This window comes from Homo sapiens, chromosome 1, assembly GCF_000001405.40.
Source record: "Homo sapiens chromosome 1, GRCh38.p14 Primary Assembly".
NCBI lineage: Eukaryota > Metazoa > Chordata > Mammalia > Primates > Hominidae > Homo > Homo sapiens.
This window is the reverse complement of record NC_000001.11, coordinates 222086778-222102875: the sequence shown is the minus strand read 5'-3', so window position 1 is coordinate 222102875 and position 16098 is coordinate 222086778. Positions and strand designations below refer to the sequence as shown.

The 16098-nt window shown below is 40.8% G+C and overlaps 1 long non-coding RNA gene across 1 annotated transcript in view, besides 1 other annotated feature; it reads left to right on the top strand.

Annotated features, from left to right (window-relative positions):
• LOC124904518 (uncharacterized) overlaps positions 1-15647 on the top strand; it is a 33654-nt gene extending 18007 nt beyond the window's left edge. Inside the window, exon 2 of the long non-coding RNA XR_007066886.1 lies at positions 13311-15647. This is a non-coding gene — a long non-coding RNA (uncharacterized LOC124904518). The remainder of the gene's footprint in view (positions 1-13310) is intronic.
• Positions 3902-4102: a silencer, noted in NCBI's record as "peak711 fragment used in MPRA reporter construct". NCBI's record gives its function as "represses an SCP1 promoter by STARR-seq MPRAs in K562 erythroleukemia cells {active_cell/tissue: K562}" and the evidence as "EXISTENCE:reporter gene assay evidence [ECO:0000049][PMID:32103011]".
• Positions 15648-16098: the final 451 nt, after the last annotated feature.

Sequence of the window (16098 nt, the reverse complement as noted above, 5' to 3'; positions counted from 1 at the left end):
TACCACTGTAGGAACTGTGCCATATTCTGTACAGCCGCTTGACAATAATGATGGTCATGACAGTTCTAATGGCAGCTACCACTTATTGAGCTGGTCATATATGTTAGGCACTGGACTGTTTTATGTGCAGCTTTTCATTTGGTTCTTCCATAAATCATTAAGATAGGCAGTATCAACATGGGGAAACTAAGGCTAAGAGAATTGAATTAACTTGTTTAACAGTCACACAGCTTATAAATGACACAGCAGAGACAAACTCAGTTCTGTTAGACTTCAAAGCCCATGTTATAACCACCAAGTCACCAAGATGACTCGTGGTAATCCTTTGTTCACAGGTTTAGAGCTTAGAGGAGCGATTAAACCTCTATGTAACTATGATTGGTGTCCTTTGAAAAATATTAAGTTATCAGACAAAAGATACTAAGAGACCAAGAATTCAGACTACAGAGCAATTGTTTCCAGCTGTGGGGATCAAGGAAGACTCTGTAGAGAAGTTATTATTTAACTTGGAAACCTGGCTATGATTTGTGAATGAGATATGTGTGCAGGTAGTGGTTAGGAAGGGGCCCCTTTCTTTCTGGGTGCTCTAGCAAGTGCTACGCTAGAAATTGGTATGGGGCAGAATAGAGGTATGGGGGAAGAAGGGGTTGGTTCTGTGTGGCATCTGGCATAATACATTCTTAGTCAAGGTAAGCATATGAATTTAAATATCTATGTTTGCCATCTACATCTATCTATACCTACATTCCTGTATCTATAGCTCATTCATCTTATAGGGCTTAATTTCACCCTTGGGAATATGCCTCTCATATGAAGATATGAATATATACTGTGATGTTTCCCACAGCATTGTCTGTGTGTTTGTCAGGGGCTGGGAAGGCAGAGAGCATGATACACAGATGCACACTGTGGCTGATCATGCCGCAGATAGAAGCCCACAGAACGATATGCATGCACCTTAAAAGCATAGTGCTGAATGGGGGGAAGAAGATAAATAATTCAATACTGTCTGTGTAAGTGAAAAATATATGTACGCCAAATAATAATGCATATTTTATAAGGGCATTTACAGATAAAAAGGTAAACATTAAACACATAGATATGACTGCCTATGGATGGGGCATGGGAATGAAGAATGGGAATAAAAGTGATAGCTAATTAAATCAAAGATTAACCCAAATCAAAGATGATGATATATCATGAACTAAGGCTCATAACTTATTCAACCCTCTGAGATTCATCCCTTCCACTCACACCTGGCTCGGGTGGGAGGGGCATCAGGAAAGCCTACACCCTGATGGCAGGTCAGGTGTCCACTCTGTGTGCAAAGAATTCCATGATCTTTGGACATGGCTCTGCTCCCAAGATCTAGACAATATGAGTAACAAATAGGCCCAGGATCTTAGAGACCGAATACAACAAAGAAGGGTCTGACCAGTAAGTTATCTGCATATGTGTTGAGTCAGAGAGAAAAAAAAATCCTCACCTGAAGGAGTGGAGCGGAGGTGGGAAGTTCTCAGAGAGGGAAGGTGGGACAGGGACAGAGCCTTGGGGAGAGTCTGGAGAGCACATGCACTACACAGGAGGATGGGGGAGAAGAGAAACATGACACCAAGGGGGCTGGGTAGCAAGCTAGAGAATGTTACCTATCTATGAAGCTTCCAGCGTGTTGCTCAAGCAGAGGTGGCCCCTTAAGGAGGTTGCTCCAGGACAAACACTGCATGCACTGCCCCAGGATCCAGATAATAAAATTGTCCAGCGATCATGAATGTATCGTCATTTGGCCTGAAATTCGTTTCCATGCTTTGCTAACCTAAAGGAAGTCAAAGATTCACTGATGTCATGCAGGGTGGAAGTGTATAGTGGGGACAGTGTTCTTTAGTCACGTCTTTCTCTGCTGTATGAATGGTCAAGTTTTCCCTCTAGGTAGTCAAGCCACCCAGCTAGCTGGGTGGTTCACCTCAAATAGCAACACCAGCTCATCGGACAGCTCCCTCAAAAAGCAGTCTGACTGGCAAGTTCTTAAGTTGACTTCTGAGTTTTCTTTTTCCACAATTGAAATTATAATTGCTTTTTGCATTTCCTCATAGAGCTCATCTCTTTTCCTGAAAGAAAAATGCATTCATTAACAAAGGCAGGAGGATCCTGGCATATTCAGTATCAGCAACAGAGAGAGTAGTATGTGATGAGGTCAGTGAGGAAGGGCCAAGGAGATCAGGTGGGAGCCGGTGGCCACTGCAAGGATGTTGGCTTTCGTCTGAGTGAGATGGAGCAACAATGCAGGGTTTAGATCAGAGGAGTGACATGATTTGAGCTGGGATTTAAACAAATTTTGGAAAATAGGGACCACGTCTTAGTCACTTTTGTAATGCTAGTGTCAGAAAATTCTTTGGAACCTGAGAAATGCTTAACAAACTTGAGCAGAGTTGCAGTACATTACTAAAGACAAGCAAAAAAAAAAAAAAAAAAAAAAAAAAGCACTGTCCCAGGTCATTGATAAGAGCACTAGTTGTGTTTGAGGTAGAAGATAAAAAGATTCGTTTGGGGAATATTGTATTTATTATTTTAAAGTCTTAATATTTACATTCTGTCCAGGACTTCAATGCCCACATGCCAATAGCTCATCCCTCAAAGGGTATCTGTCATATTGATAAAACCTCCTACAGCTCAAGAGTCTCTGTGTCTACCTTGCACCTCTACCTGGCCAGGACTGATTGGCTTTCAACAATTTAGTTTCCAATCTTCAGGTTTTGAGAAATGTGAAGCACATTCAGATGTGAATTGTATTGATAATCCAGGCCATTATTATTATAATCCCTAGGAAATCATGAAGCCAAAAGAGCTTTTTCATTCAGCAACAAAAAAGCTTTTATCCTCTATCCCCAGCTGACATACTTTCATAGAGGACTTGTCTTTGATCTGCCCTCTTTGTTTTTTGTTTGTTTGAGATGGGTTTGTTTCTTCATTCGTCAAGGCTGTGAGCTCACTAAAGACAAACTTCAGGAAGGAAAGCAAATGAAGTTCTGATTGTGAATTCCTGGTCTCTTATGGCAATTCCGGAACTGCCCCTTTTCAAAAGGATCCTAAGTACTTTGGTGGGAGCCTAGGTAGAGTTTGCAAGAGGGGCAGCCTGTTTTAGGGCTGTAGCTTGGATTTTCAGGTTTAAACATTAAAGTTTCTGCCTTGTCTTTGCTATGCATAAGCTGATGACCTGGGCAAGGCAACTCATCTCTTAGCACAAAGGGAGGCAGAAGAAGCATTCACTGAATTCCATTTATGGGCTCACACTAGGCCAGGTGCTAATGATGCATGATAGTCTAACCCTTATAACAACACTATGAATTGAATATATCTCCTTCTTACAGGAAAGGCAACAGAGGCTCAAAGAGCTTCAATAAGTGGCTCAAAGACATATGGCTGATGAGTGTTAAAACTAGAATCAGCATGTTTCCAAAGACCACACACTTGCCCTGCCTCCTTCTGAACCTGGGCTTATTCATCTCTAAGATGAGTTCCTTAGTTTTCCTTCAAGGTCTTTCCAGCTTCAAAAATTTGTGATTGAGTGAGGTTGGATTCTAACAGCACAGGAATTCATTATATAGGGCTGGAACTCAGTTGGGTTCATAGCAACCCTCCTCCTTCTTCTAGCTAAGACTTTCCATTCATAAAGGTTGGTTCCCACCTCCAACGTGACACCCCAGTCTCACTCCTCATCACTCTTCTTTGCACTGCACTAGAAATTCTTGCTTTCATCTCCCAAACTTGCTCATTTGCCTCTTCTCCTTCTGCAGAAACCTCTTTCTCTTTTTCTCCTCACATAGTTTTTCCCTCCTCCAACATAGCTCTCTGAAAAACTTACCTTCTCTTTTTCCAGGCATATCTTATTTCTATCTGAAAGGTTTCCTGGTTAAATAAACAATTCGAATGGCTTTGGAAAAGTCACTTCACTCGGCATTTAGTTCTCATTTGTGAAGTGAGACTGCTGTATTACATGGTCTCTGTAGGCTCTTCCAGTGCCAAAATTCTCATTACAAATAAATCTCGAATCTCTTTCTTTCCCTAGCAGCTGTGGGCTTTGTTTCTACATTAGGTCAATGTGCAGTCTCTACCATACTTCTTTGTTTTTATTCCTGGGTTTTTGCCACATGCAGCATTTAGGTGGTTCTAACTGAACTGTAAACTCTTGAAAAGAGGGGACCTTGTGACTTCCTTCTTCCTAACCCCTCCACTCCTATCTCTGGTCCACAAGACTAATCCACAAACTCAGGGGTTATTCAAATAATGCCATCAACTGTTGGACAGATGACAGATGGCAAGTGCCATCCACAGCCTTGTTTTTCTGGTGTCCCTGTCATATTGTCGACATTCAGCTTTTTCAAAAATATCTTTAGTTACTCATTAGTCTGAGAATTAGGCCTTAGCTGTTGGCTATTCTATGAATGGCTCTTTCGGTACAAACTAACTGAATCTGTGTCTATGCCCTTAATTGGAAAGATAAATTTAAATGGAACTGTCTCCTTGTGATGTCCTCTGAATTTCAGAAATGAAATTTGGGTCCTCTCAGTCTGATGGAATGCATAACACTTCCAGAGTTATCAGGAACCTGTCAGAATCATTATGGTTAGATATAAGTGTTTTTCTAAATGCTGCTATCCATGGAGTCTGATGTTTGAATTGCAGTGGTGGAAGACAGTATTTATGCAGTCATTCATTCAAACATCATTTTATTGAGCACTGACTATGTGTCAGACACTGGGGTAAAAGGATAAGTAAAACTTGGTTCTTGCCCTTAAGAGGTATTTGGCCAAAAAGGAAAGGGGTACTAAAACAGTTACTATAATGCACAGAGATACACTGTTATAAAGTATATAAGAGTATAAACAGACAGGGAGAGTCTCCAGGGATGATAGGAATCGAATCAAGTTGAGCAGTCAGTCTGGTCAGTCTGTTTTACAGCCTCCTGCCCTGCAGCCTGTGTGGAATGCAGTCACCTTGTTGGTTTAAACCAGGTCCTGACTGATCCTGGCAACTTCTAGATGAACTCGAGTGAACTTTCCTCATTACTATGCCAAAGTCTCCACCCTGGGAGGAGCTATACCTGCATTACCATGACATGCAACCCATATGCTGGCATGATGACTCATCATGTCTGTGCAACTGGGACCCCTCCTCTACCTGCCATGATGCACCCTTCTCCATTGCCGCATAAAACCCTCCTGTCCCCTTCTCTCCGGGAGACACTGCTTTGGAGAACACTCCCAGTATCCTCCTTACTTGCACCAAGTAATAAAACTCTTATTGATCAAAACCTGTGTTCTCGTGGAGTTACTCACCAGCTGAACAAATCCTGTTTTATTGAGGGTAACAGAGGTCCTGAAGAGGTAGGAATTGGATATAACCAGAGGCATCACAGACGATGCCACAGAGTATGTGAATTTAGGGCTAAGCTTTAGTAAGATCTGGCAGCAAAAGGCAGAGGGCATTTCAGGGAGAGAAACACCCAAAGGCACAGGGTAAGTATGGAGAATGAGGGCATGGGTGAAGGGACTGGCGAAAATCAGATTAAAAGGTAAGCAGGGGCCAGATAGTGAAAGGCTTTAAATGCCCTACAGAGGAAGCTCTATGCCAGTGGCTCTCCTGCTGTAGTGGGCTGAAGGCTTATAAAGGGACTTGGCTGAACATGTAGATTTCTGGGACCTACTGATTTGATTCAGCTGGCTTGAAGTGGAGCTTAGAAATCTGCATTGTAAGCCAGCCTCCTGGATGATTCAGATGTAGGCAGTCTGCTGGTAATCTTGTGCAGATATTGTTGTCAGCAGTGGAAAATACAAAGAGTGACATACAGCCTCATACTGGGCTTAGAAAGACAAGTCTAGCAGGTGAGTATGGCAGCTGAGTTGAGGGAGAAAGGCTCATCGTGATGTGGTCAGTTAGCATTTCACTGTGACGGTTCACACGAGAAACGCCCAATGCCTCAACTGTGGCAGTAGGCAGTGGTAATGCAGAGACAGAGGTGAGAACTCTTGCAGAGGGAGAATCCTCAGAATTCAGCAAATGAATGAAAGTTGAGGGGAGAGAGAGAGGGGAGAATCACAAGTACATTTAGTAGTTCTCACAGGAGTAATTAGGGTCTAGTGTCATTAATGCAAAGTAAAATATGTTTGAGTGAGAAGATAAAAAGGTTGGGTTGGGGCATATTGAGACTTCAGTGTCAGTGGAAGCTACAACTAGAGATTTAATTCAGGTCTTCTCCAGGTTTGCTTTTGGGGAATATGAATATATGTAGGGGATAGTTGAAGCCATGGGATTCTATGAGACAAAGTGATAACTTTGGGATAGAGACCAGAGAAAGTCAAAGACAGCGCCTGAGGCACCTCTGCCTTTAAGGGAAGAGAAGATGGGGCGGGACCTAGAACTAACTTAGGTGAGTGAATCTCACCTAAATTAAAGGGAGGGGAGAATTTAACTGAGGACTTTTTCAACATCAGGCTGAGACTGAGGCACAGTTTGCCCCCTAGAGGCAAGGAGGGGAATTGCGGGGAAGAGCCAGATGTGCTGAAAGGCAGAGGGGGGAAGTCCACACACACAGACGAGGGCTAAGAAGTGAGCTAATGGACGTGTCAATATATGTTTGTATGCACACGCATATACCTGTGCATGCATGTGTGCACCTGGGTGTATGTGTGGGCATGAAATTTGTGTTCATTATGTGCTACATAGGTAAGAGCCTTCTTTGTGACAGGTATGTGACAATCCTGTGAGTGAGGTGGGGGAATAGTAGCCAAAGTGTGCAGGACACCAAGAGGTCAGAAATCAAAGAGCAAGGGAAAGTAAGAGCCAGGAGCTGTGGGGCAGGGCTGGAGGAACTCCAGGGAGGGGCGCTGACACATATTGGCAGGCCGGGGGAAATTGAACATGGCCAGAATGAGACTCAGCAGAAGACAACAGTGCCAAATGCAACAGAGGGATTTACAAAACTGAGAAATGTCCTGGAGATTGCCACTTGGAAGGTCATTGTGACCTTTGACAGCGTGGTTTCTGTGGGGTCTAACTGAAGAGTGAACAGACGGTGAGAAGGTTGTTTGAGCAAAAGGAAGGAGAGAGCTAGTGACTCTGAAGTTAGAATCAGTGATGATACGAGATGAGGCAATTTTGCCCATTAAGCATATTGGTGCATCTTGGGGACTTAAAAAGATTTGTTTTGGACGACTTGCACTTCAAAAATTAGTCTTTTTCCTAAGAGGATAATAAAACTTAAAAGTAGCAAAACATGTTTTTCTGCAATATTTAAATAGCTTTTGATCCTGTCTGTTGTTAACAGTTGCTTCTCCAGGAATTTTAGGCCATTGGCAATAAACCAAGTAAATATTCTAACTAGAAAATAAAATGGCCCTTTACTACTGAAGTGTTGTTTATAAATAGCTCTCTCATGTTAACTCAGACTCAGTGGGCATATGTGTGTGTGTCTGTTCACACACAAGTGTAGATGTGGGATGTCTGTGTGCTCATTTAATCAACTAATATTTTTCACCTTCTATATGTTAGGCAGTGTAGGTGCTGAGCATATACCAGTGAATAGAAAAGCCATGATTAAGCTAATTATTACAGTGAGTTGAGATATGTATGTGCATGGGCAAATCCTTTCATGTTGTGTTGGCAAGGGAAGAAGACTAATCAGGAAAATAGGGCAACTCAATGGGCCAAAAAATTAAAAAAAAATTTCAAGATGCCATCTATTTCTACATAAAGATGATCTTATGCAGTGGTGTGCTGGTAAACTGGCTCTCTAGGAAGTGCAGGGAGAAGCCCTGATATGTAGCATTTACCAATTATCATGGTGTAAATATTTTCACTGGGGCTGATTTCAAACCTCCAACTTGATGTCATTGAATGAAGCTAAAGGAAGAGATGTACACAGTTAAGAGATATACACAGTATAAGCCAGCTCCAGCATCCCACTAACCCTTTGTGCAGGCAGAATAATAATAATGCTTTCTTTCATTTATGGAGCTGTTTGAAATTAACAAGGTGCTTTGACATATTTTCCTTTACCTGCACCTCACCCTGAGTGTGATGTTAGAGGATATGGTTTGAGGAATATGGAAAAATCTCTTTGGCTAGCCACAAAGCCTTACATTACCACTGAGGTAACTCTCTTTGGTATAGCATTCATGAATGAAGACCATGCCTTTTAAATAGTAAAATACAAGATATGTAAGTGTTGTTAATCCAGGGTAAGACAAGAAAGATCTCAATTACAGGATACTATTGGAGAAAGAAGTCCCAAAAGAAGCCATGGAGAAGGAGGATGGGTAGATATGTAAGGAAAATGGTCAAAAGAGAGATCCAAGGATATTAAAGACATTTTTTCTATGTCATAATTTTGCTTAGGGTATGACCTACTCCTAGATCATAGATGTTACCAGATATAGTTCATGCTCCATTATCTGCTCTAATGGAGGAAAATTGGACAATATAATTCAAAACAATGAACAACCTTGAAAGATATATACAATTGGACTTGCAGAGAAGATAATGACTGTTTCTTGGTATCTGTAGCATCCTGTGAATGGTTTACCTATTCTACCTCTGAGCTTAAAGAATCTACTCATGACGAGGCATATTGCAAGGAATTGACAAGTGTCACATAATTAGTACCAATCTAGACTTTGTTGTACAAATGAGTGCAGGATTCGGATGGTTATACTTCCTTTTAAGTGATTTAATGAAGTATCATTTTAGAGTTAGTTCTAATTAAAAGATTTTTAAAAAAAACTCTTACTGTGTTGTCCTAGAAATAAAAATACTTTTTCTGACAGAAACATAATTAATTTGATTATAAGGTTTAAAGTGTATTCTGTGTGTGTGTGTGTGTGTGTGTCTGTGTGTGTGTGCACACATATGCATAACTTCAACTGCTGCTGAATACAAGAGAAATCAATATCTGGCCACTGGTGGTCATAGGCTGTAATCACTTGGCAACCGTTGATATATTGGTGGCCGGCAATGAGGAGAATGGTGGGTGTGCATCCTATCAATTTTAAGAGCATATTTTTCCTCTACCAGTAGCAGTGGCTCAGCATTCTATTTGTAATTTCTGGCCTTGAAAGTAGGAGTTAATAAATGACAATAACTTTTAGCACACCAAGCCACATGCTTTTTCCTGTCCTGCAGTTTAGCTTCAGTGTGGAGGGAGAGAAAGAAAATTTTGAATCGATAATGGAAGTGGGGCACGGGGTATTGGAATGTAAACTTGGATATAAAATGCAAGCCAAGTGGTGGCTTCAGTGAAAAAGGCTGCCATTTGATGGCTGCAAACCATATGCTGAAGTTTCTTTCTTTTGTTTGTCATTAATGAAAAAAAAATTTTTTTATTCTTAGCTCTGTGGTCCCAGCCACCACCAATCCAATCAATGACCAACTTTGACTTTTTCTCTTCAGTGCATTTTTCCTGTTTCCTCTTGTCAATGTTTTTTTGCCTCCACTGCATTCCAGGATTTTATTACCTCACATAGGGATAAATGCAAAACCTTTCTAAAGGTAATAATAATAATCACAGTAACTAGTACCTAAAATCTGGGTAATGTTCACATTTGGCTGAGGATGTCCACCTACCTTGTCTCGTTTAATCCCTATAGCACTCCTGGGATATTGGAAACTGAAGCTCAGAGTGGCTGAGTGATGTGCCTAGGCTTACAGAGGTAGCATGTGTGGGTGAACCTTTACCTTTTGACTCCAAATTAAGTGCACGAGCCCCTACTCAGACTGTCCCAGCCTCTCTTTGTGCTCTTACTTTCCCCTTGTTCTGAGAAAATATATACACAGTTGCTGGAACATTCATCCATAAACTACTTTCTGTGAGAATCCTTTTCCCAACAGATCCAGCTCAACTCCCTTTGCCTCTTTCCTGAGGCTCCCCTGAGCACTCAGCGGTGTGCTAAACAACCATTGGCCACTGGTTTCTTCCTACACTGAACATCAAACTTTTCTAGCCTATGTCGAGGCTGAGAGCAATTAAAATCCCCACATCTTTTTCACGAGAGCTTATACATCTTTTGGTCATGTAACAGTAAGTGCTGATAGTACTGATAGGAAAGTTGTTCATCAGAAAGTCCTATAATCTCTATTTAAAAATATTCTTCTTTCGTTCATCTCTATGATGAAAATCTACTCATCCTTCAAGGCTTATATCAAAAGCTATTTTTTTCCCATGGGATATTTTCCTGATTCTCCAATCAAACACAATTGCCCTATCATTTGACTTCTTTCTTACTTGTTGTGTTGCAATTGTTTTCATTGTCTTATGCCCTTTAGCAATCTGTGTAATCCTTATAGTCAGGAAGAAAGTTCACAAATAGAAGATGCTCAGTAAACATTTGTTGAATTCAATTAAAATTAATTAGTTTAAAAGCACTTCAATTACAATAGATGCTCTTTTATCCAGTTACTGTTACAGTATTTTTTGATTAATCAAAAATGTTATGTTAACATGGACAATCATTTTACAAAAAATAAAAATAAAAAAGCCCTGTATATACCATAAACCCATTTAACTTAAAACCTACATTAATTTGTCAGATTTTTGAATGCAGAGTCAAGGATCCTCTTTGAATTTGCATTCATTGACTCAGGTTCCTGGTTTCCTTTCTTGTTTCAGTCATATCCACAGTGAATAATTTGACATTTCCAATTTGAGTTTCTTTATTGTGGAAAGACAGCTTACAGACACTTGCAATGCAATCTGAGTATTGTAACTATTAAAAAGTTCTATCAGGTTAGGCAACATAGGAAAACACTGTATCTACAAAAAAAAGTATTAGTTGGGTATGGTGTCATTCACCTGTGGTTCCAGCTACTCAGGAGGCTAAGGTGGGAGGATCCCTTTAGCCTAGGAGGTTGAGGCTGCAGTGAGCCATGATTGTTCCATTGCTTTCCAGCCTCGGGGATAGAAAGAGACCTTGTCTCAAAAAAAAAAAAAAAAAAAAAAAAAGATTCCCCCAGTTCATAATAGTTGTCTCTATTAACTAAATGGCAGTTCTATAGAGTTGCTCTGTCCAATATAGTAGACATGTGCCACATGCGTTTACTGTGCATTTGAAATGGAGCTAGTCAAAAGCAAGGGATGGCAGAAATGTAAAACACCCACTGGATTTCCAAGATTTAGTACAGAAAAAGAACATAAAATATCTCAATTTATATGATTATATGTTGAAATAATGGTTTGAATATGCTGAGTAAAATACAATAGATTATTAAAATTAATTTTATCTGGTCCTTCGTACTTTTTTTTGAGATAGGGTCTTGCTCTGTTGCCCAGGCTGGAGTGCAGTGGCACAATCATAGCTTACTGTAACCTTGAATTCCTGAGCTCAAGTGATCCTCCCACCTCAGCCTCCTGAGTAGCTGGGACTACAGACACATGTCACATGTCTGTCTCCTCTTTTTACTTTCTAAATGTGACTACTAGAGAATGTAAATTTACATAAGTGGTTTGGATTTCATTTCTCTTGGATAGCACTGCTTTAGAGAGTTATGGTTATTGATTCTTCACAAAACACCCATTGTCACTTTCACAGAGATGACTACTCCTTCCTTTTGATACTAAAATTTCTTTTTTTTTTTTTTTTTTTTTTTTTTTTTTAAGACGGAGTCTCTCTCTGTCGCCCAGGCTGGAGGGCAATGGCGCAATCTCAGCTCACTGCAAGCTCCGCCTCCCGGGTTCACACCATTCTCCTGCCTCAGCCTCCCGAGTAGCTGGGAATACAGGCGCCCACCACCACGCTCGGCTAATTTTTTTTTTTTTTGTATTTTTAGTAGAGACGGGGTTTCACTGTGTTAGATGGTCTCGATCTCCTGACCTCGTGATCCGCCCACCTTGGCCTCCCAAAGTGCTGGGATTACAGGCATGAGCCACCATGCCTGGCCCTAAAATTTCTTAATTATATTTAATATTACATTAAATTACATAATGATAGTAAGAAGAACAACTATTATAATCAGGTTTGGAAGCAAGTGCAACTGAATTTTGGCATGCTTACTTTTCAACTTATGGGAGCAGAAGTCCATGGGAATTCAGAGAGTCACATGTTGTGCCTTTAGGTGCTTCCACCTCAGTTAGTGTGATGTTGAACAGAGCAGAAGGGGAGTGTAGTTTATTTACCGAAGCCATTAAGTGGAAATTGGTTAAGAGAGCTTCTTCTGGACTCCGTCATCCTAATATATAAAAGAGCAGCAGCTTGGAGATGTTCCCTTTTTGTTATGCTGTTTTAGAATGACAATATCACAGCTCACTTCCCTGACATGCTCAGAATTGTAGATGTGAGAAATGAATTTCAGGACTAGCCTGACTAAATTGAACACAGATTAATTCTATTATGGGAAATCAAGCAAATAATGGTTGTCTTAATGACGACATATAGCTGATATATTGAGGGTAAGAAGTTGTCCATATCCCACTAGCAAGTTAGTCCTTAAGAGGCTGTTGGGGTTTGGGTTTGCTTTCAAGCTGCAAGGATAAGGAAAGAGGCATGAGGGCGCTCAGAGAGGAATTTGCTTTTGGTCAGGATCTGGCCTGCAGCATAAAGTCACCCCTCATCCCTCTGACTCCATCGTGGTCTGCTGGAGTCATGAGGAAGCACTGACTTTCATATAAGAAGACAGCTCTCTTCACCCACATCCTCTTCTGACTAGAAGGGGTGACTAGGACAAGCCATGTAAGTGTCTTTACTGTACTGGCGATGTGCATGAATTGGGTGGAAGATGGAGAGCAGGGAGGTGCGTATGCACTGATCCATCCGTACCTTACTTCTCTGTGTCTGGCAGCCTTTCACTGTGGTTGAGGGCCTATCCGTGAAGCATCGCAGTTCTACTGTCTCCGCAGGCTAGCATGTTAAATCTGAGTTCACCAGCAATAATGGCAAAGAAAAGACAATGGTTATTTCCTCAGCAACTCTCTTACTTTCTCCCCGAGTATCCAGTTCTATGGGAATGAATGTTTTAAAACTAGATGAGGTGGGTGTCATGCAAATCTAAACTTGATCTAAGCAAATGTCAGGCCCAAACTACTGGACTCATTCAGGCCACTAAATTGAACAGTTTTAGCAGCATGTACCCAAAACTGATTTCAGGGAAAGAACATTTGTTAGAACATGCTTTTTGTTGAGCACTGTTGGTTTGCTTGCAAATGACAACAAAGAAAATGATAACCAGAGGAGAAAAGAGTATAAATGCAGTTCTCTCTGTCCTACTCTGTTTTGTAATAAATAAATGAACCAAGCATATTGAATCTCTCGGTACTGTTTATTTTACAGTTGTTCCACTCCATAAGTTCCCTCCTGGAGGATGTGTGAGACACCAGGCTGCATGTTAGAAACGGCTGTGCTCCGGAAGGCTACCAGGGTCATCGTGAGGGCCTTGCAGATTTCAGAAATGAAGTGACCTGCCTTGAGTCTTCCCTCAGCCTCCTCACTCCACTGTAGTCTCAGGAGAGTGAGGACAACAAAACTCTCTTCTCCCCACATTACCACTTCAGCGCTGACCTGTGGCTTGAGAATCTAATCTGTGTGCACCGTGGCAAAGTCTTGGTTTTACAGGTCTCACCTGACAGCTAGTCCTGATTTTTCCATGATGTGTGGGTAAAAAGTGGGTTCTTGAAGGGAAACCTCAATGTAGCTTAGCTCTTGAGAAAACAGTATGTGCATATGCTTCTTGGATAGAAAAAGAAAAAGGAATGAGAGAGGAAAACGAAGTCTTATAGAAAAACCTGGCCGGATGCGGTGGCTCACACCTGTAATCCCAACACTTTGGGAGGCCAAGGTGGGCAGATCATGAGGTCAAGAGATCGAGACCATCCTGGCCAACATGGTGAAACCCCGTCTCTACTAAAAATACAAAAAGTAGCTGGGTGTGGTGGTGTGCACCTGTAGTCCCAGCTACTTGGGAGGCTGAGGCAGGAGAATCACTTAAACCTGGGGGCGGAGGTTGCAGTGAGCCGAGATCACGCCACTCCACTCCAGCCTGGCGACAGAGCGAGGCTCCATCTCAAAAAAAAAAAAAAGAAAAAAGAAAAAAGAAAAACCTGCAAAACATTAAGAAGGAAGTGATCATTAATACTGAGACAAACTGCTTTCTTCTATATTAAGTATATGAGAATAATTTTGTGATTTGTGATTTGTTTCTCCATTCCAAACCTGAGAAAGGGGAGGCAAATTATTTTTATGTTGCTATTCATATATAGGCTGTTACCTGTATAAAGTTTAAATATATAATTCTGATACTGTGGTTAAATGAGATTCTAAGACCAGTGAGTAGGGGCAGGTGTTAGGAATGGTCAAATCAATAATGTAGACATTGAAATGTTCACAAATGATAGACTGTGATATTTACTCTTATACTCATGATTTTTTAGTGGCTGTGGAATTTGGGGCAGTGTTTCCAGTCCCATTCTGTCCATTTTATTTGTTAAGGTAATCATCCAAGACCATACCTGATGGGGGAAAGTGTATATGGAGGGATGTAACTTTCTAAGAGGTTGTCTTAAAAGGAGGACTGATGACATTCCTTCTCCTTAATTTATATACTGTGTGTTTACTGTTCTCAACTTAGAGCTCAGGTTACTCCAGTCAAGACCACAGCAAATTTGGGAAGAGAAGACCTCTAAGAAATTGCCTAGCATGATTGTTAATCAAAGTACTGCTAGTAATTCTATTATTATTACAGACATTTCTTATGTTCCAGGACTGGCTAAACACTTTATATACAAAATTTTATCTCATTTAATCCTTACAACAGTCCAGAAAAAGGCATTGTAATCCTTGTTATACAGATGAGGAGATTAAGGTTTAGAGAGGTAAGGTCATTTGCCCAAGGTCACTGAGCTTGGAAATAATGAGACTAGGATTTTAATCCAAATACTTGTGTTCTTAAGAATTACACTGCTTTTACATTAAAGCTGCTAGAAACATTTTTTTTAAACCTATATTTCAAACAAGAGTCAAAACAAAACCAGAAAAGTCCAAAGCCAATTTACAGCCTGATTTCTTCTTGGCCTTGTAATGCTGAGTGAAAATTGCTGAGCCTTTGGTTTGGGAGAAGCATTTGAAATGCAATACAGGAGAAAATCTTGATGCCAGGAGTTGCCTCATGTTTGCCTTTAAACCATAATGGCCCCGAGCTCCAGTACTAGAGTCAGATTTATTAATCACCCATTATGTGCCAGGTCCTGCAGTTCCTTTGGGTGATGGAAAGTGTCGGCTTTACAGTTGACAGAGCACACTTGCCGACATAAATCCCCACACCGCGCCCTGGAGCCAATTCAGTGTACACGCCAAAGCAGGAAACTGAGGCTTGGAAAAAATAAGGTCCAGGCTTAGAAAGTGTGAAAGAAAGGACTCAAATGAGGTCATTTGCTCCCTGTCCGAGGGCTAACTGTACTGCTTCAGGCTCCATTATGAAAAACGCACACAGAGTTCACCCATACCTCATGCCCTGTCCCTCCCATTTTCAACCTGTCATCCGTGACAAACCTGCTTTTTCTTCTGTTGCTTTCTGAAACTTCTTTTGAATTTGCTTTCTCAGCATCAGTAGGGTCAATGTGAACTGACTTACTTTGTAAGTTGTGAATAAATGTTCATTTTTTTTCTAAAAAATACAGTGCAATGAGAATGATGGACTGTGCTTTTCTATTTCTTTTTGATTCTTGCTGTAGAATCTAACAGAGCTTAAAACTGTTTAATTGCCTCCCGGAATATAATCTTTATCCAATTTTCCTTCTCTTTTAGACACAGTGTCTAAGAGACCAAGAAATCAGTTAGCATCCCAAGGAGCCCTGAGTTGTGTGCGTGGCTTTCTGTGTGATGCCTGTGCTTGTGTCTCTTCTCTTCCTGCTTCTTTGAAAATGTGCATCTCCCTCAATTGATGTAGCCCTCTGCCTTTTAACCTCTTTAAATATCTGTTCAGTTAGATATCTCCTTTTTATTTTTTATCATAGAAAAATTTGAACATATACAGAAATAGAGAAACTAGTATAATGAAGCCAGTGTACCTGACTTCAACAATGATCATTATTACATGGATAATATTCCATTATCTGTATTCCCA